This window comes from Homo sapiens, chromosome 3 (genome assembly GCF_000001405.40).
Source record: "Homo sapiens chromosome 3, GRCh38.p14 Primary Assembly".
Taxonomy (NCBI): Eukaryota; Metazoa; Chordata; class Mammalia; order Primates; family Hominidae; genus Homo; species Homo sapiens.
The window spans coordinates 52792865-52812522 of NC_000003.12; the positions used below are offsets into that span (position 1 = coordinate 52792865).

The 19658-nt window shown below is 55.5% G+C and overlaps 1 protein-coding gene and 1 long non-coding RNA gene across 12 annotated transcripts, besides 1 other annotated feature; one reads left to right on the plus strand and one right to left on the minus strand.

Annotated features, from left to right (window-relative positions):
• Nucleotides 1530-2419: an enhancer, noted in NCBI's record as "H3K4me1 hESC enhancer chr3:52828410-52829299 (GRCh37/hg19 assembly coordinates)". NCBI's record gives its function as "activates a minimal SCP1, AML or CMV promoter by ChIP-STARR-seq in naive H9 embryonic stem cells {active_cell/tissue: H9 hESC(naive)}" and the evidence as "EXISTENCE:reporter gene assay evidence [ECO:0000049][PMID:30033119]".
• ITIH3 (inter-alpha-trypsin inhibitor heavy chain 3) lies at nt 1932-15933 on the plus strand. Of its 10 annotated transcripts, NM_001392019.1 has the most exons (23): nt 1932-2032; nt 2739-2759; nt 3617-3783; nt 3875-3979; nt 4241-4403; nt 4953-5066; nt 6102-6227; nt 6508-6624; nt 6889-7057; nt 7674-7799; nt 8101-8282; nt 9470-9655; nt 9803-9942; nt 10991-11145; nt 11862-11870; nt 12398-12508; nt 12944-12976; nt 13239-13274; nt 13429-13542; nt 14037-14241; nt 14883-15052; nt 15246-15357; nt 15688-15933. In NM_001392019.1, the coding sequence occupies exons 1-23, from the start codon at nt 1940-1942 to the stop codon at nt 15815-15817; spliced, it is 2784 nt and encodes a 927-aa protein (NP_001378948.1). In that variant the 5' UTR covers nt 1932-1939; the 3' UTR covers nt 15818-15933. The 10 variants fall into 10 exon arrangements, with proteins under 10 accessions (NP_001378948.1, NP_001378950.1, NP_002208.3 ...); NM_001392021.1 differs by lacking the exon at nt 12398-12508 and having other exon boundaries at nt 14859-15052; NM_002217.4 differs by lacking the exon at nt 12398-12508.
• On the minus strand, nt 14722-17756 carry LOC124906240 (uncharacterized). 2 transcript variants are annotated; one of them, XR_007095911.1, is made up of 2 exons: nt 16678-17756; nt 14722-15085 (listed from the first exon to the last, which is right to left on the minus strand). It is a non-coding gene; the product is annotated as an uncharacterized LOC124906240 (long non-coding RNA). The 2 variants fall into 2 exon arrangements; XR_007095910.1 differs by lacking the exon at nt 16678-17756 and adding an exon at nt 15654-15741.

Sequence of the window (19658 nt, forward strand, 5' to 3'; positions counted from 1 at the left end):
AGGCTGCTTGAGCAGCTACAGAATCCCTATTTCGAGTTGTCCGTCTCCCCAAACTCCAGGCACTTGGGGATGAGGCAGTGGTCCAGATGAGAGAGTACAGGAGAAGCTCTGCAGGCAGCTGCAGGTCCGTGAGGAGGAGCCATTGGGCAACAGTGCCAGCCACCCAGTGCCAGCAGCCACAGGACTGAAAACATCCCAGAAGCCAGGAAATGAGGACACGGCAGCTCTGAGGGGTCTTCTCTCCACACCCAGGCGCCAGCACCTGCTGGGTTTGGCCTCCATCAGGCCCGAGCTTGGTGCCTGCTGCCAGTGAGGTTGGTGTAAGGGTTCAGGAGGCCCGAGGGAAACAGGCACCGCCCAGCCAGACACCAAGCACAGGCAGCATCTGCCACTTGGCCATCATTTCACTGGCTTGGAAACTCCCTCTTTTCAATTTTTTTTTTTTTTTTTGAGACGGGGGTCTCGCCCTGTCATCCGGGCTGGAGCGCAGTGGCACGAACACAGCGCTCACTGCAGCCTCGAACTCCTGGGCCCAGGTGATCCTCCAGCTTCAGTCTCCCAAAAAGCTGGGATTACAGGCAAGAGCCATAGTGCCTGGCTGATTTGGCAACTCTCCATCATTGCTCTGTGGCTGCTGCCTCTTCCAGCCATTAGACCACACCCTCCTCAGGGCTTCCGCTGCCCCGTGGCATCTGCCTTTTGCCTTCTTGGTTCCTCTGCTCCCAACAACTCTCTCTGCACATCTCCCAGTCAGCACCAGAGCTTTCAGCTGAGGCCGCTGAACTCCCCATAAGTTAGTTGTCCTGGACCCAGCCGTCCTTGTCGACTCCATTCAGTAGTGGGCTGCCCAGTGGGAGGGTCACAGGGTCAGCTTGGCTCAGAGAAGCCATGGGTATGGTGGGTGTGCAACAGCTGCCCTGATGGGGCTAGGCTGGCAGGGTCCTGAGGTGGCTCAGGAGGTCCCAGCCCCCACTGAGACCAGGTCCTGCCTCTAAAGCTCCTGTTGTCCTGGAAGCTGGAGCCCAGCCTCACTACGACTTTTAGGGCAATGACTCCCCAAAAGGCTGAGGGCAGCCAAGTCCCTGGCTGGGCCCTGGAAGCACAGAGGGAAACATGACATGGTCCAGCCCCCAGGAGCTCTGGGTGCAGAGGGGGCAGGCAGACCTGAGCACATCCACCTCAACATAAGGTCATGACAAAGCAGGCCCTCAGGGGGCTTGGGGCTTGGAGCAGGGATGTCCCATAGTCCTCTAGGGGATGGCCAGGGAAGGGTCCTGGAGGGGAGGCACTGGGACTGGCAGAGAGATGAAAGATGTGACATGTGCAGAAGGGGAGGGTGTGCTGGTGCAAGAGAGTGAGCTCAGAAAAACAAGCTGGGGTCAGATCACAGAGACAGCTGGGCTTCCGGGATCGTTGTGTGTCCTTTCCCTGGGGCTTTGGGGGCCATAGAAGGGTAGTGAGCGAGGGGCTCTGCTGTGGAGGTCCCAGCCTGAAGGTGACAGTCTAGTTTCACGCCCTGGCTGCCTCAAGAAGGGAGGGGCTGCAATCCAGGAGGCCAGAGAGAGGCTGTCCCAGTGGTAGGGATAAGAGGCAACAATGCTGAGATGCCCTTTGCCCTAAATGCAACTCCACACCCCATCTCCATCATCCACGCCAGGGAGTCCCAGGGTCCATTTGTTGGCCCACAGCTTCTGCTTTCCTGCGGGCCTCTTCCGAGTCCCCCGGTCTCTCAGGAATGAAGCCCCAACGCTGTTGGCAAGACCCACCAGGCCTTCTTCAGACAGACACATCGAGGGACCCGTCATTCCACCCATGCCCAGCTTCCCGGAGGCCCTTCCTGCCTCCACTCCTCCCACCCCCGCTGCAGGTCACTGACCCTGCTTGGAAAACACCAGGCTTGCTCATATAAGGAGCGTGGGCCAGGCCTGAGTATTCAGCGATGGCATTTGCATGGTGGCCCTGTCTCATCTTGGCTCTGCTCTCCAGCTTGGCAGCCTCTGGCTTCCCGAGAAGCCCCTTTCGGCTGCTTGGGGTGAGTCTGCCCCCTCTTTGCCATCTGGGTCTTGGTGTGGAATGGGCAGAAGGCATCATGCTGGGCAAGGCCTCTGAGTGGAGTGAAGAGGAGGCAGAGGGCTGGGCACTGAGCTGCTGGGAGTAGTGTGGACACTGGGAGAACCGGGCTCCAGCTGAGGCCTATGCTAACCTGTTGTCTAACCCTGGGAAGGCTCTTAAAACTCCCTGGGCCTCAGCTTCCCCACCTGTCAAAAGAGCAATGCACCAGGAACTGCTCACTTCACTGAGGGGCAATGAAGGTTCAAGTCTCAAACGAGTGTGACCTCTACAAAATGCTCAGTTGAGCCCTGCGGGGTGTGGCGGGGGCAGGGGTGCTCTGGAAGGAGGCCTAAAGGGGCCTGGGGGCCAGGGAAAGGCAGAATGGGAGATAGAATGAGGTGGGGCATGTAGGGTGTGAAGAGAGCTCTGGGTTCAGTTCCCCCTGCCCTGCTCTCCTGGTAACCTGGATACCTGCCCCTCTCTGGACCTCAGTTTCCCCATCTATTCAGAGTTTTTCCTACTCTGACATGTGGCTCTGGAGGGTCCTATGTCTGGGGGCCACTCAGGTGTGTGGGGGGCAGGGCACCACTGAACCCCTGGTCTCAGCCCAGAGCCTCCCAGGCCATGCGGCCTTGGTGTTGGCCTTGGCCTGATTCCTGTGTTTGTGTTTGTTTTTGTTTTTTCAGAAACGGAGCCTCCCGGAAGGGGTAAGAACTTTCACCAGGGGGTGGGACCGAGTGGGGCAGGGCAGGATGGAGCTGGTTCCCCAACTGCTGAAGGTGTAGGCTATAACAGCTGACTCCTCACAGCTGGCAAACAGCTTACGGCCCTCTGCCCTGGCAGCCTCCAACAGCGCAGGACTCCTGGGAAAGAGCACCACAGAGTGACGACCCCTCCAACCTCGCAGGATGTAGCCCAAGAGGGCCCCTCACAGGCATCCCTTCCTTCCGCAGACACTTCCTTAGCACTTGCTGGTACCTGGCTCTGTGAAGCGGTCCCTGCCACACCCTCACGAAGCATCTTTATATCCCTAGGGGGAGGGGGCTGGAACACCTCCCTAGAGCCTCTCAAAATTCAACACCCCTATTGGAAAGAGGGTGTTTGGAGACTTCCCTTGGCACAGGAAATCAGTTCCTCTTTGGGAGACAGAATGAGGCAATTACCTAAAGACCCAGGAGGTGGGCTGGGCTGTGTGCTTGAGGGAGTGTGAGGTGTGGAGGATGAGCAGGAAGAGCCAGGGGCAGATGCTCCAGAGCCAGTGTCCCACGCATAGCTGGAGCTCAGGGTGACTGGACGGGAAAGGGCAAGCTCTCACTGGCTGCAGTGGTGTGTAAACGGATCGCAGAATTAAGGAGGCAGGACAAGCATCTGAATAATGGTGGCCACCAGAACATGGAGACTGGAGACGCCACCAAGTCTTCCAGTGTAGAAGACCTGGAGGATGAGGGTTGCGTGCCGGGCAGGGGCCTCAGAGCCTCCAAGGGTTTGCAAGGGAGGTGGCTGGGTTGCAAACCTGCTTCTCCAGTGTCCCAGTCTGGCTGATTCTCCACCCACCTCCCCAAAGGTGGCCAATGGCATCGAGGTCTACAGTACCAAAATCAACTCCAAGGTGACCTCCCGTTTTGCTCACAATGTTGTCACCATGAGAGCCGTCAACCGTGCAGACACGGCCAAGGAGGTTTCCTTTGATGTGGAGCTGCCCAAGACGGCCTTCATCACCAACTTCACCTTGTGGGTACCACCATGGCTGCTGGCTCTGGGCTCGGGAACAGGGGGTCTGGCCCAGTGTGATCTCCCTACCCCCAACTCTCTTTCCCTGCAGGACCATCGACGGTGTTACCTACCCTGGGAATGTCAAGGAGAAGGAAGTTGCCAAGAAGCAGTATGAAAAGGCTGTGTCCCAGGGCAAGACGGCCGGCTTGGTCAAGTAAGTATGGACTCCCAGGCCTTGGGGAGAATGTCTGGGATCCAAGGGCCTTCAGGGCTACAAACAACAACAACAGCTATTATTATTGGTATAGCAAAATGTGCCCATAATTTTGCCATTATCCCACGTTGAGGCTGAGGCAAGTGAGGCTCAGAATGGTTAGGGATCTCCCTCGCCAAAGGGCTGGGCCTGGGGCCGAGGGCCGAGGAAGGGTGGGCTCCTGCAGTCTTTGAGGGAGTCACCATCTCGCACCCTGGTCAGGGCCTCTGGGAGGAAGTTGGAGAAGTTCACAGTCTCGGTCAACGTGGCTGCAGGCAGCAAAGTCACCTTCGAGCTAACCTACGAGGAGCTGCTGAAGAGGCACAAGGGCAAGTACGAGATGTACCTCAAGGTCCAGCCTAAGCAACTGGTCAAACACTTTGAGGTAATCAACCGCCCCTGCAGACCTGGGGGGACGGCAGCGGGGTGCAGGAACCCGCCCATGGGGCAGTCTCAGACAGGGGTCAAAAACAAAAGTTCTGCCTCACGGCATCCCCCATCCTTGGCTGGGAAGGCTGGAGGAATTCAATGGTTCTGGCCAAAAGCATCTGGGGCCAAGGGGAAGAGGCTGGGATGGACTCCACAGATGCAGATTCGGTGCTGGGCCCTCAAGAGCAACACCAGCAAGTGCCTCTGTAAGGCTTCTCACTGGGCACATGGGCATTTTTCCTACCTCAAAGCTGAAAGCCAAAGGAAAAGCATCAGTGGTGGAATTTCGGGCGCATATGGCAGGCGGTGGTAACACCTCCCGATCAGCATACTCTCCTCCAAGCCCCTGTGGTCACTTTCGCAGTGGGAGACACCAGGCTTGGCCCTCAGCACTGTCCTAGAGGGTCCCTGCATCACCACAGACCCATCTCATTCCCATTGGCCTTGTTCTGGGAACTGGCCTCTGAGGTCACTGAGTGACATTTCCTTACTTTGGCCATTTCAGATCGAGGTAGACATCTTCGAGCCTCAGGGAATCAGCATGCTGGATGCTGAGGCCTCTTTCATCACCAACGACCTCCTGGGAAGCGCCCTCACCAAGTCCTTCTCAGGGAAAAAGGTGATGTAGATGCCTCTCAGACCTGGTGGGGCAGGGGACAGGAATACTGACTCCAGCAGAACAAGCCTGCAGCCTAGGGCTTAGCTGCTGCAAGCATGCATGTGTTGGGGTGGGGCTGGGGATCAATCTGCAACTATCACCTTCCTCCTTGCCCACTGGGGTTGGGAGTGAGGATGCTGAGGGCAGGGGCTGCTGACAATGACCTGCCAGAGGAGCCATTTACAAAGCCTGGTCCCGTTCCCCCTTGGGAAATGGACAGGGCAGGGCTTATCTTCCCTGTTTTACAGGTCCCGAGGCTGAAGCCCAAGGGAGTCATTTAGATCTACTGACTCCACAATGAGAGGTGAAAGACTAAAGAGAACTTCATTCTTGGTGCTAGGTGGTTGACTCCAGTCCCCAAGGCTCCCAGCTGTTCCAGGGGCCTTAATGGCAGTGGACAGTGGGTGAATAAATGTTTGTATAAACAACAAACCAATCATCCAGGACTTCCAGGGCGAGGCCCGAGGAGCACACACTCAGAGGACTGCTGGCTTCTGCAGGGCCACATCCTGCCCCGGGACCCTCCTCCTCCCCTTTCTCCTCCTTTCTCCCTCCCCTCCTCTTGGCACCCACACACCAACATTCCAAACCTACAAGAAATTCCTTTTAATGGGAAGCTACCCCTTCCCTAAGTAGCTTCTCAGTGCTGAGCTCCAAGGTAGCCTGGGCTAATGGGTGTGTGAGGCCAAGAAAAAGGGAGCTGGAAGCTGAATCAGCCAAGGCCTGTGCCCAGCCAGGAGCCCTGATCTCCAAGGGGAAAAGCGGTGCTCAGAAAGGCCGGAGCGTGGTAAACAGTGCCTTCCAGTGAGTCCTGGGAGCTGCAGAGCACGCCACCGGCGGGCAGGGCTGCCCAGGCCTCCAGCTCTTGCTAGCCTCTGCCCTGCCAAGGGCTCCTCCCTGTGAGGCTGCACCTCTGCTCCCTCAGCTAAGGGCTGAGGTCTCCCAGTGGGCAGGCCCTGGCCGAGCTGAGCAAGGTCTTTCATCTCCATCCCTTAGGGCCATGTGTCCTTCAAGCCCAGCTTAGACCAACAGCGTTCATGCCCAACCTGTACAGACTCCCTCCTCAATGGAGATTTCACTATCACCTATGACGTGAACAGAGAATCTCCTGGCAACGTGCAGGTACCCGGGCTGGCTGATTCATCATCAGGGTGGGGCGAGGGCTGGTCGGGCGGGGGCTGCAGCTGGATCTAGTGCCATCACCCTGGGTCCTCAGCCCAAGGCTGTTTTCCTGCAGGATGTGGGACAGCTGATGGCCTAGAGCCTGGTGCAGCACCCCCTAGAGGGTGGGATAGGAACGTCTTTTTCTTGGGCTGGTAAATGTCTGGCTTCTACCTGCAAGAATAGTCAATGTGGTGTTGCTAAAAGGACACCGGCCTCCGTCCCTCTCCCCACTTTCCAGATAGTCAATGGCTACTTCGTGCACTTCTTTGCACCTCAAGGCCTTCCAGTGGTGCCTAAGAACGTGGCCTTTGTGATTGACATCAGCGGCTCCATGGCTGGTCGGAAATTAGAGCAGGTAATCAGCACCAGTGGCACAGCCAGGGCTCGGGGTAGTAGGGGGTGGAAGAGATTTTTTTTTTTAACTGGAAAAAGCTGATCTTTGTGGTGAATGAGGAGAAAGGGGACAGGATAAGAGAAGGCTCACGGCCTCTGCCCGCTTCTGTGGCAAGCCTCAGGCAGGGCTCGCTGGTGCAGATGGCGTGGGCTGCACCGCCTGCTGAGCTGAGAAGGGACCTCACTCTCTGCTGCGGCTTCTCCCAGCTCTTTGTCTCTCCTCCAGACAAAGGAGGCCCTTCTCAGAATCCTGGAAGATATGCAAGAGGAAGACTATCTGAATTTCATCCTGTTCAGTGGAGATGTGTCCACATGGAAAGAGCACTTAGTCCAGGCCACGCCCGAGAACCTCCAGGAGGCCAGGACGTTTGTGAAGAGCATGGAGGATAAAGGAAGTAAGAGCGGAGCTGGAGCCCACACACCTCCTAGCGGTGCCTCCCTCTGTCCCTGAGCAGCCTGCAACCCCCCTCTTAGGGACTCTGCTGGTCTCAGGCCCTCTTCAGATCTGAGCTGGGGTAGAGGTGGGAGTGGATGGTCCTCAGGCTTGAAGACAGAATATCGGCTGTCTTCTCCGTGGTCCAGGGAAACCCATTCTTTCTGTTTCTAATCCATGATCCTGGTATCTCACAAGTCCCAGCAAGATAAGGCCACAGAGAACCCTTCTTCTTGGCCCTGTTTCATATGGAAAATGGCACGATGTCTACACTGCTCCCCTCTCCTCCCAGCAAGAGGTACTGGGAGTCCATCCAACTCTGCCAAAGGGCTTTCACAATCACCATGTGCTTTTCGTCTTCACCATGTGCCTTTCATCCCCATTTGAAAGTGGAAGTTGTTTGTTTGTTTGTTCATGTGGTGGTTCATTCATTGTTTGCTGAGTACCACCATGGGCTGGCAGATAGGGTCCTTGGGCACATGAGTGGGGCCGGCTGTCCCGGCCTCCTCCGCTCCAGCCTGTCTGCACACTGGCACCCTGAGGACACCCTCCCACGGTGCTGTCTGTCTGTGTCCCAGTGACCAACATCAATGACGGGCTGCTGAGGGGCATCAGTATGCTGAACAAGGCCCGAGAGGAGCACAGAATCCCAGAGAGGAGCACCTCCATTGTCATCATGCTGACTGATGGGGATGCCAATGTTGGTGAGGAGCACGGGCATGGTTTTGAGCTAGGGCTGGAGTGCTTGGCTGCTGCTCCTGGCTCTGTAGCTGGCTCATTGGAAAACCTGGGGCAGCTCTTCCCTGGGTTCCCTGTGGTCTGGGAGCCCCTCAAGGGCAGGGTCCTGCCTCCCTCTGCCAGGGCTCTCCACCACCTGCCCCACAAGGGCTCATGGTCGTGACTCCAGCAACTCTGCATGTGCAGGAGTCCGGTCTCCCCAGACAGAGCTGGTCTAGACCATCCCCAGGGCTGGGGCTGGACTGTGAACACCCCCTTCTCCAACAGGTGAGAGCAGACCCGAAAAAATCCAAGAGAATGTGCGGAATGCCATCGGGGGCAAGTTCCCCTTGTATAACCTGGGCTTTGGCAACAATCTGAATTATAACTTCCTGGAGAACATGGCCCTGGAGAACCATGGGTTTGCCCGGCGCATTTATGAGGACTCTGATGCCGATTTGCAGTTGCAGGTATGCCTTGTCTTGCACACTTCCGGGCATAAGGAGCTCACTACTTCCTCAGACAGCTGCTCCATAAGGTGACAGTTCTAGTTATTAGGAAGAGCTTCGTCTTGGGTCAAAATCCACCTCTGACTATCTCTTACCCATCAGTAAAGATTCTGATTTTGTCCTTGGGCTACACAACAGGCCCGTTTCTTCAACAGGATTATCAGAGCAAACACAGGACATCTGGTTCAATATGAATTTCTGATAAATAATGAATTTTTGTAGTGTAAGTATGCCCCAAATATTGCACAGGACATTGTATTAGTGTATGGCGGCTGCCATACCAAAGTACCAAGTGGCTTCAATGAGAGAAACGTATTGTCTCCCAGTTCCAGAGCCCGGACATCCCAGATCCATGTGGCGGTGGGTTGGTTCCTTCTGAGGGCTATGAGGGCAGATCTTTCTAGGCCTCTTTCCTTTTCTCCATGGCTTATCAATGGCTGTCTTCTCCCTGTGTCTGCACATGTCTTCCCTCTGGATGTCTGTGTCCAACTCCCCTTTTAATAAGGACATCAATCATATTGGATTAGGGCCCATACTCATGACCTTATTTTGTAGACCCTATCACCAAATAAGGTTGAACTTTAGGAGTACGCTATTCAACCCATAACAGACATACCTACACTAAAAAATTATTCATTGTTTATTTGACCTTCAATGTAGCTGCACGTCCTGTCTTTGCATTTGCTGAATCTAGCAATTTTGTTCCTTCTCTAGGCAGGTAATGGCATCTCCACCTCTGCAGGGCGACCACCCCATTCCCTCCCTCCTCTGTCTCCAGATCTCTGCACTCCTGTCCACATCACTTTATCATCTGCCTCTCTTACTTCCTTTTCTCCTTCTTGCTTTCATTCCAACAGACATTCCTTAAATACTTTCTTTGTGCTAAGAACTCTGTCCTTTCATATTTCTTTTTTTTTTTAATAGGAAATACTTCTGAAACTGTCCTTTCTAGTCTTCCTCGTGTCTATCTGGGAGCAGGGAGTTGCCGGGGGGAGGCCCCCACAGACTGAAGGACGCAGTCAGGGACAGGCAGAGTGAACATTAGGAGCCATTAGGACGGGCCCAGCCCTGGGGCATGGATGCCCAGCTGCAGCATCAGTGGGAGCCTGACCTGGGGCTTGAGATGACTGGCCCCGTGCGAACTTCAGGGCTTCTATGAGGAGGTGGCCAACCCACTGCTGACGGGTGTGGAGATGGAGTACCCCGAGAACGCTATCCTGGACCTCACCCAGAACACTTACCAGCACTTCTACGATGGCTCTGAGATCGTGGTGGCCGGGCGCCTGGTGGACGAGGACATGAACAGCTTTAAGGCAGATGTGAAGGGCCATGGGGTGAGTGGGGACAGGGCCTGGAAGTGTGCTGGGGATGGGGTATCAGCAGTGGTAGGGCTCTGGCCTCATGAGGGTCCAGGAGTGGTGGCCCCTGAACCTGATCCACCCAAGCCTCCAGCCCCTTGCCTCCTTCTACCCCCACCCTAGGCCACCAACGACCTGACCTTCACAGAGGAGGTGGACATGAAGGAGATGGAGAAGGCCCTGCAGGAGCGGGACTACATCTTCGGGAATTACATTGAGCGGCTCTGGGCCTACCTCACCATTGAGCAGCTGCTGGAGAAGCGGTGAGCAGAGTCCCAGCCCCCACCTGTGCCTACCCCTGGCTGGGCTCCAATGCAAGGGCACCCCCATACGCAGTCCCAGCGGTCCTGCCCTCTTCTTGGGCCAGCCCAGGAAGTGTCTGTAGAGCAGTCTGTAAGGAACCCCAGGCCGCCACTCCCCATCCTGTCAGCCCCAAGGCTCAAGCTGGCAAGTCCCCTGGCCAGCAGCCTGGGAGTGCCCCGGGGTAGGGGGGACTTCAGCACCCTGCTGCCCACACTGGGCATGGCCCAGGGGTGGTGAGGCTGAGTGGAACTGAAGGCCGGGATCCCAGCCCTCAGTGCCCAGAGGGCAGAGCTGAGCCCACTGAGAGGGTCAGTGTTGGTGTGGGTGGGATTAGACTGTGAAGCCGTTAGTACACAATCTAGCACATGCTGAGTGCTCTGCACATGGACACCATTGCGAGTGGCTGTTGTAGCCCCTTATTTTATTTATTTATTTATTTATTTATTTATTTATTTATTTATTTTATTTTATTATTATTATTTTTTTTTTTGAGACGGAGTCTCGCTCTGTCGCCCAGGCTGGAGTGCAGTGGCGGGATCTCGGCTCACTGCAAGCTCCGCCTCCCGGGTTCACGCCATTCTCCTGCCTCAGCCTCCCAAGTAGCTGGAATTACAGGCATGCACCACCATGCCTGGCTAATTTTTGTATTTTTAGTAGAGATGGGGTTTCACCATGTTGGCCAGGCTGATCTCGAACTCCTGACCTCAGGTGATTCACCCGCCTTGGCCTCCCAAAGTGCTGGGATTACAGGCGTGAGCCACCATGCCCGGCCGGTCCTTACGTTTTATAGGTGGGGAAACCAAGGTCCAGCAAGGAAACAGGGCTTGTTCACATGCCCCAGGGAGTTGTGAGCCAGTCTTCTCTGAGCCCAACTGGGCTGTACCCTGGGGGACCCCACAATGGGGAAGGTGGAGTGGGGATCCCCAGCTGTGTCCACTGCTCCAGTGCAGGGGAAGTGGGCAGGGTGCTGCTCTCCAGGCTGTCCTCCTGACTGGCCCCTCCTCACAGCAAGAACGCCCATGGCGAGGAGAAGGAGAACCTCACGGCCCGGGCCCTGGACCTGTCCCTCAAGTATCACTTTGTGACTCCACTGACCTCAATGGTGGTGACCAAGCCTGAGGACAACGAGGATGAGAGGGCCATTGCCGACAAGCCTGGGGAAGGTGGGGATAGGGATGGAGGCCGGAACCCGGAGGCCTCCTGTGCTGGGCACCCTACCTGGGTGTCCAGTGGAGGAGTGGGCCAGGCTGGGGAGACCCAGACCTGCTGAAGTAGGGCATCTGAAGGAAAACTGGCCACGGGATGGGGAAAGTGGGGTGGAGCGTGAAGCAGTCAGCATGGACAGTGGGGTGTGGGGTGAATAGGAGCCTCTGCACCTCTAAAGGGAAGTGAGTAAAGGGGGCACACTGCCCATGGGGCATTTCAAGGAAAAGGACTGAGGCTGCAGCATGGAAGGGCTTAGTTAGACAAGAAGAAGCACTTCCAACATGAAAGGCCTGGAGCAGGCTATCAGGCACCTGGAGATTGTTAGGGGAAGAGTCCCTGAGAGCTGGAGGCTGGGACCCCCTCAACCAGACCCCAGATTGCCCTACTCAACAGGGGGTCCCAAATGCCCACTGCAACTAGGTACAGGGTCTGTGTGTGGTGGTGGAGGATTGGCATTGGGAGACATGGGAGGCAAAGAGCTGGGCCTGGCCAGGCCAGGCCTCTGGCTTCCAAGAACTCCTAGTTCCAGGGGACACCCAGTGGGGGAAGAGCTGGCTGCTGGGAGGCCCACAGCCTAGGGCTGGTCGGCCAAGCAGCCAGCTCTGGTCCCTGCTCACAAGTGCCCTATGGCTTCTAATGCATTTCTCTTCTTCCTCCCTTGCTGCACCTGCAGATGCAGAAGGTAAGCCTTTAGCCAGCCACCGGGTTGGGCATTATGGAAGGGAGACAAGAGAGAACTGAGGAGGCCTTTCCAAGCAAGATAGGACCCCCAGCCATGGGGGCACACTTGGGACACCTGGGCTCAGGCCCAGCCCTATTGCCAAATCATGAACGTGCCCCTCTCTGAGCCTGAGGATCCCTGTGAGTTAATTGGGGGTGGCTTCCCTTGCCCAGGGAGACACAATCAGTATGACAGTATCTATGACCTGCAAAAATGAGCAATTTAGCATGTCAGTCATTTATACTTCATTAGTCCCATAGCAACCCTCCAAGAGGGCCCTTTTATGATCCCCATTTTACAATGGGGAAATTGAGGCACGGGGGGTTAATTTGCTCAGTCTGTTTGCTCACAGACTCAGCAGATGGCCAAGCTGGTACTTAGGCCAAGGCAGTCTGGCCCCAATGCCCATGCTGGGAATTGCTGGGGATCACAGTCCTCTGTGCCTCTCTCACCACAAAACTGGAACCTCACAAACTCCCTGCCACTAGGCAGGGCCTCCCCAGCCCCTACTGGCCTGCCCCACCTCCATTTGGACTGGCACATTTGGACTGGGCCATCACATTCCCCTCAGAACAGCCCTGATAAATGTACCGGTGCATGTGAGTACATATATGCATGTGCACGCATATGTGTGCGCCTGTGTGCACGTGTGGGTGGGTGTTTACTATCAAGAAGCAACAGACAGCCGTGAGCCTCACTCACCCCAACTAGGGGGTGGGAAGCCCAGGGGTGGGGCAGATGTTTGCTGTGAGCATTACTCAAGAGAGAGAAGATGACTTAATGGCTTGCATTTCAGCCACATCAAAAAGCCCTGCGCCAACGTTAAAATCACATCCCATTGCCACCAGCCCCATAAAGGGCTTCCCTGGACGTGCCCGATTTCCAAAGCCTAATCTTTGTAGTCACATCTCCACCTCTATCTGCCAGTGTTGGGGCCCCTCTGGGGCCCAGCAGCGCTAAGACAGGAGGAAGGCACGGGGCTGGGGGAGAAGGAACCCCTAGACCCTGCTCACCACTGCCCTTCGGCTTTTCAGCCACACCGGTGAGCCCCGCCATGTCCTACCTGAGTGAGTACATGCTGGCAGCTGCCACTCCTCCCACTGCTTAGAGCCTGCCCCTGCCACATGTCCCTCCACCGTGGCTACTCACTCAGCTCTCCGGGATGGGCAGATGGACAATGTGCCCTGAGGAGATTGCGGGGTGGGAGGGCAATGGCATTAGCGAGCGGGAAGGGGAGGGGAGGGGCATAAGCTGAACTCCTATGGGGGTCGTCGGGCGCCTCCCAGGGCCACTTGCTTAGCTCAGCCCTCTCTCCCTTTGTATCTGCAGCCAGCTACCAGCCTCCTCAAAACCCCTACTACTATGGTGAGTCCCTGGCTGCTCCTCGGGAAGGCTCAGGGGCCTGGGCACGTGCTCCTGCCTGTCTCGGAGTCGAGCCCATGGAGGCCAGAAGGCTGGGGGAGGCCCCAGGTATGATGAGAGGCCCCGGGAGTCAGCTCCTTCTCTAATGTGTCACCAGTGGACGGGGATCCCCACTTCATCATCCAAATTCCGGAGAAAGACGATGCCCTCTGCTTCAACATCGATGAAGCCCCAGGCACAGTGCTGCGCCTTATTCAGGATGCAGTCACAGGTGAGGCTTGTGGGCTAGGGCCGGGGCCAGGGGGCTCTTCCTGGGAGGGCTTGGGTCCCCCGAGGTAGGCACAGGGAACAGGTTCTCACTCTGCCCAGTAAGGCATCATCTTCACATGCAAAGAAACCCCTGGGGGTGGGGAGTGCCCAGGGCCACAGGCTTGCTCAGCCCCACATGCCAGTGCTATTGGGAGATGATTAGCGTGAATGGACCACCTGGGCCTAGGGTAGGACCCAGCCTGTGTCTGGGGAATAGCTTTTCTCTGAACAACACTCCCTGGCCCAGGCAAGTGGCAGACCCATAAGGTCCCAGCATGACCCAAACCTAGAGTGTCTAGGAACCAACAGGCTTGGGCTCTGAAGTCCTGGTCTCTCTTGTGGCCCCCGCTCTGCTGCCCCTCAGCCAGTCTGGTTGAAGAGGAAGGCACACCCCTAAAGGCAATCTGGACTCAGAAGTTCTCGCTGGTCTCTCTCCCTGCCCCATCCCTCTGGCAGGCCTCACAGTTAATGGGCAGATCACTGGCGACAAGAGAGGCAGCCCTGACTCCAAGACCAGAAAGACTTACTTTGGAAAACTGGGCATCGCCAATGCTCAGATGGACTTCCAGGTGGAGGTGACAACGGAGAAGATCACCCTGTGGAACAGGGCCGTGCCGAGCACTTTCAGCTGGCTGGACACAGTCACAGTCACGCAGGATGGGTAAGCTCCCCTACAAGGTCTCCAAGGTGGACTACAGGGTGAGAGTCTAAGGAGGCTCTTGAGGGATTTAGAAAAATCCCAGGACAGGAGATCCATGGGGGTCACAGGAAAGATCAGAGACCCCAGAATCCAGTCTCCTGTCACAGGGGAGGGTGACCATAGTGGCCCCCAACCAAACCCTGGGGCCCTATCAGAGCCAGAATTGGTAGCTGCACAGTTCAGCTGGTTGGGTGAAGGCATTAGGTGATAATGGCCCCCATTTGCCTCTTCTGTGGCTGCTCTTGTCTTCTTAGCTCTCCTGTCTTCAGATCCCCCAGAGCCTCCCACTGAGGCTCAGAGAAGGTGTGGAGCCTGCCCAATGTCACTCAGGAAGTCAGTGGCTTAGCTGAGGCTGGACCACAGGCCTCCAGATTCATAGGCCAGCCCTCTCTTTCCCACTTATAGACACTCAAGGATCCACTCACGGGAGGGGAGACAGTGTGCATGAGGCATCCTCTTTCCAACGCCCCTGAGATAGTTTCTGGAGTCTGTGGGCCCTCGGGTGCCATGTACAGGGGAGGCCCCACCAAAACGCCCTTGAGTCAGATGCCCAGTGTCACGGCCACTGGGCCCCACAGCCACTTTCTGGCTTCCTCTCGTAGGCTGTCCATGATGATCAACAGGAAGAACATGGTGGTCTCCTTTGGAGATGGGGTTACCTTCGTGGTCGTCCTACACCAGGTGTGGAAGAAACATCCTGTCCACCGTGACTTTCTAGGCTTCTACGTGGTGGACAGTCACCGGATGTCAGCACAGACGCATGGGCTGCTGGGTACGAAGTGTTCAGACTGCAGGCTGTTCAGGCCTGAGAGCAGCATGGGAAAGACATACACAAGGCCTTCCTAGGCACCCTGTACCCAGCTCACAACACCCCATTCAGCCTTTGCATCAACCCTGAAAGGCCAGTGGCCACGTTACCCGTGGCAATGGCCAGGGGCTGACAGCATGAATATTTTTCTTCCCAGGGCAATTCTTCCAACCCTTTGACTTTAAAGTGTCTGACATCCGGCCAGGCTCTGACCCCACAAAGCCAGATGCCACATTGGTGGTGAAGAACCATCAGCTGATTGTCACCAGGTGAGGAGACTTCTCCCACACCCTCACCTGCTCAGCAACGAGAGGAGGAAAGAGCACCTGCAGCCCAGGCACATTAGTCTGGTGGGCTTTTGTCTTCTGTGGGGTACCCTTGTTTCCCTTTGAGGTCTTGGCCCCTCCCAGGCTCTTGCTAATCAAGAAAAAGCCCAAACTTGGCTTCCTCGAAAGAGTAATCATGTAACTTCATTCTTGACCAAAGAATTCTGGGCTGTTAGAATTGCCAACTTCCCACCCTTTTTCAATCTCAGGTCCGCTAGCCTAGCAGCCATCTTACCCACCCCGTGTATTGCAGCATCTCTCTTCTTTCCCCAGGGGCTCCCAGAAAGACTACAGAAAGGATGCCAGCATCGGCACGAAGGTTGTCTGCTGGTTCGTCCACAACAACGGAGAAGGGCTGATTGATGGTGTCCACACTGACTACATTGTCCCCAACCTGTTTTGAGTAGACACACCAGCTCCTGTTGGGATGGATGGCCCGGATTTTATGGCATCTGGAACATGGGCACAGAGAGGGGCCTGTGGGAGGGGCTGGGAAAATAAAGTCCAAGGTCGAGACCAGACAGCTGCCAGCCTCTACATGCCTTCATGAGCCTCTGCTCCAGGGAACAGGCAACTGGGACCCACAGCAGCTCAAAAGAGGGGATGGCTAGCAGGAAGGCAACTTCTTGGGCCTCTCCACTGACACAGCTGAGAGACAGAGTTGGTTGGACTAGAACTTTAGGGATTCAAATGTATGACAGCTTGGGGGAAAAAATAAAGAACTGACTCTGAAGGAAAGGGGCTCTGAGAAGTCAGGAAGGGTTGAATGTATTTCAGTATCCAGGAAAGTCATAAGATAAGTAAATGGTCCCGGCTCAGGAGCTCCAATCAGGACCTTTAGAAGTAGATAATACTCCAGTGCAGATACAGCCCACATCTAAATGGGGATGTCAGCCACCCTTCCATCTATCCATCCATCTATCCACCATCCATTCACCCATCCCTCCACCCATCCATCCATTCACTCACCCACCCACCCATTCACCATTCAACCATCTGTTCACCCACGTATCCACTCATCCATCTATCCCTCCACCATGCATGCATCCACCCATCAACCTATCTATCCATCCCTCCATCTGTCTATTCATCCATTCATCCCCCCAGCTACCTATTCATCATTCAACTATGCATCCATCCACCCATCCATCCTTTCTGTCCATCTCTCCATTTGTCCATCCTTCCATCCATCCATCCAACCATCAATTCACCCACCCATCCACCCACGTACCCATCCATCAATTCAGCAGATAAACCCAATACCTTGGGCCAGGATCTGGGGGTACAGTTGAGTAATCCAGTTCCTATTTTCATGAGTGCTCAAGTTTGTCTTCAGCTGGGCCAGGCATCTCTGGGATCCTCTGATTGTACCTTATGATGACCACTTGGTGTATCCTCCCAATGAGTCTGTGGTGGGGTAGAGGGTCAGAGAGAGGTTCCTGGACGAGGGGCTCTAAGACCTCTCCAGTGTGGATAACCCTCTCCCACCTGGACAACTGCAATTGCCACTTCCTGAGTCTCCCTGCCCCCTCTATTGCTTCCCATAGAGAGCTTTTTATAGAGCAGATGTGATCACCACTCGCTGACTAAATCCCTACAAATGACATCTTCCATCCTTTGCTCTTGGAACCATGACAGAAGTCCCTCCTATGGCCTCTTCAGCTTCCCCTCATACACCAGGTGCTTCCCTTACTTTCTGGGTTCCAGACACACAGGCTGCTCTCAACTGTGCAAACATAAGCTCTCCTGCCCACATCCTCTGCCTCTGCTGTTCTGCCTGGGGGTGGGGAGGGGGTAAGGGCATGCTGGGCAGACAGTACCCCATCAGAAGACGCGGTGAGTGGCTTTGCCTGATGTCAGAGTAGGGGGCACAATAGGACTGGAGGAGGTTGGAATCAGACTGGGGAGTGCCACAAATGTCAGTGGGGCATGGCATGTGGCCTTGGGGACATGAAAGGAAGTTGTCCTGCCTCCCAGTGCAGGGGTCCCTGGAGAGAGGACTAGAGGCCACGAAGGGCAGTCCAGGGGCAAATGTTTGTCGTCAGAAGAGCCCCCCAGGTGGCTACAGGATGCTAACGGCAGACTGGTGCCTGTTGTTGCTCTAGGGAAGGGGCCACATAGACATGGCTCCCATCTTGAAGGCCTCCTCATAGCCCCAGGGTGAATGTGGCAGAAGGCCAGGCTGGACTGGCTAAAAGGGCCCAGGCCTGAGAAAGGAACCCTCCATGGTGGGCAAGTCCCACCATTCTGTTGAAGCCTGGGTTGGTTGAGGAGCCATATGGCTATTATTATTATTATTATTTTTCTTGAGATGGGGTCTCGCTCCCATCACCCAGGCTGCAGTGGTGCAGTGGTATGATCACCGCTCACTGCAGCCTCGAATTCTCAGGCTCAGGTGATCCTCCCACTTCAGCCTCCAGAATAGCGGGGACTACAGGCATGGGCAATCACACCCGGCTAATTTTTTATTTTTTGCAGAGACAGGGTTTTGCCATGTTGTTCAGGCTGGTCTCGAACTCCTGGGCTCAAGCGATCTGCCCACCTCAGCCTCCCAAAGTGCTGGGATTATAGGTGTGAGCCACTGCCCCCAGCCCACATAGCTTTAAAACAGTCATCTTGAGGTCAGTTTCCACATCTATGCAGTGGGGAGAAGGATCCTGCCATGCGAAGGATGTGAAAAGGCGTCCTCGTTATGGTTTCTGGTCGTCCTCAGGTGTCTCCAGAAGGACAGCTCCAGGTAGTAGCCATGTGAACAGGTTGGGAGGCAGGAGTCGGCTGCCCTCAACCCATAGGCCGGGAGGCCATCTATGTGGGCAAAAGCTAGGTGGACTCTGCCTTCTCCCCATTCCACGTCACCCTGGTCCCTCCTGTCCCTGCCTGGCCCTCCCTCCCCTTTCACGGTAGAAGCCACGCTCTGTGGTGAGGTGTGCACCACCTGTGCTGGCCCGGTCCCCCTCCCCTTCCACCTCATCCAACAGCATCTCCTTCCATCATCTTCCCCAAACTTAGCACACAGTGTCCTGGCTCTAGGCCTGGGCGCATGCTGTTCCCACCACCTGCTGTTCTTGCTCTCCTTTTCCACTGGGCTAACTTCTCTCCATTTTTCAAATCTCAGCTCCCACATTACCTGCAGAAAGCTTTCCCTGCCACCCCCAGGCTTCCTGGTCATCCCCATGTCTCCCTCTGGGCTCCTGCAGCACCTGGCTATTTTCTGGGTGGCAGTTATCACCACAGGCATTGTGTCTGCCATGGTGCCCAATGTGCCCACAGTACTCAGCCCAGGGCCTGGCATAAGCTGGAAAGCACTTGCTGGATGAAAGAGTGAAGAACATGGGCCTATTTCCAACTGTCACAGAAAACACCTGCCCCGCAGGTGCTGGCAGGGCCAGAAAATCAACTGTGACTCCTCTGCTGTTGCACAAATTCAGCAGCCAGTCCAGGGGGTCATGTCCCAGAAGGGTAAGCTCGGGGTGGCACTCCTCTCTCATCCCTGTATGTCAGGGCCACCCCCACAGCAAGTCCCTCTGAGCTACTCTCATGTCACACAGCCCTGGCCCGAGCCCCCTGGAATAGCCTTTACAAAGCGACTCTGCCTGAGATCCCTATCTGCCAAGGAGGCTCGATGGGGAGGCAGCAATGCAGGGAGGAGCGTTTCCGTGTGTTGGGCAAACCTGCTGCTGGTGACCCCTCCCACCAGCCAGTACTTTGACCCTTTTAGAAAGACCCATCCAGCAAATATCCTCTTCTAGCTCAAGACCGGGGAAAGGATGTCTCCCTGATGATCTGGTGTTTTTTAGCAAGCAAATGAGCTCAGTTTCTTCTTTACATTGGCTTCCAGGAAGCTCATAGCAAAGCCTTGTGCTCCATCACTGCTGCAGCTTTCCCTACCCTGATGTCCCTGAGTTCACTATCCTTCTGCTTGGCTCTTTTATCCTTATACTCAGATTTTGGTTTCTTCCTCTTTAAGTTTTGTATTGGTAAGCCATAGACTCATATCCTTTTTTCAGAAGTAGGTGGGGTAATAGTAATTTTTGTTTCTTCTCTGAGACAGGGTCTTGCTCTGTTGCCCAGGCTGGAATGCAGTGGCATGATCATGGCTCTCTGCAGCCATGACCTCCCAGGCTCAAGCGATCCTCCAACCTCAGTCTCCCAAGTAGCTGTGACTACAGGCATGCACCACCATGCCAGCTAATTTTTGTAATTTTCGTAGAGATGGGGTTTCGTCACGTTGCCCAGGCTGGCCT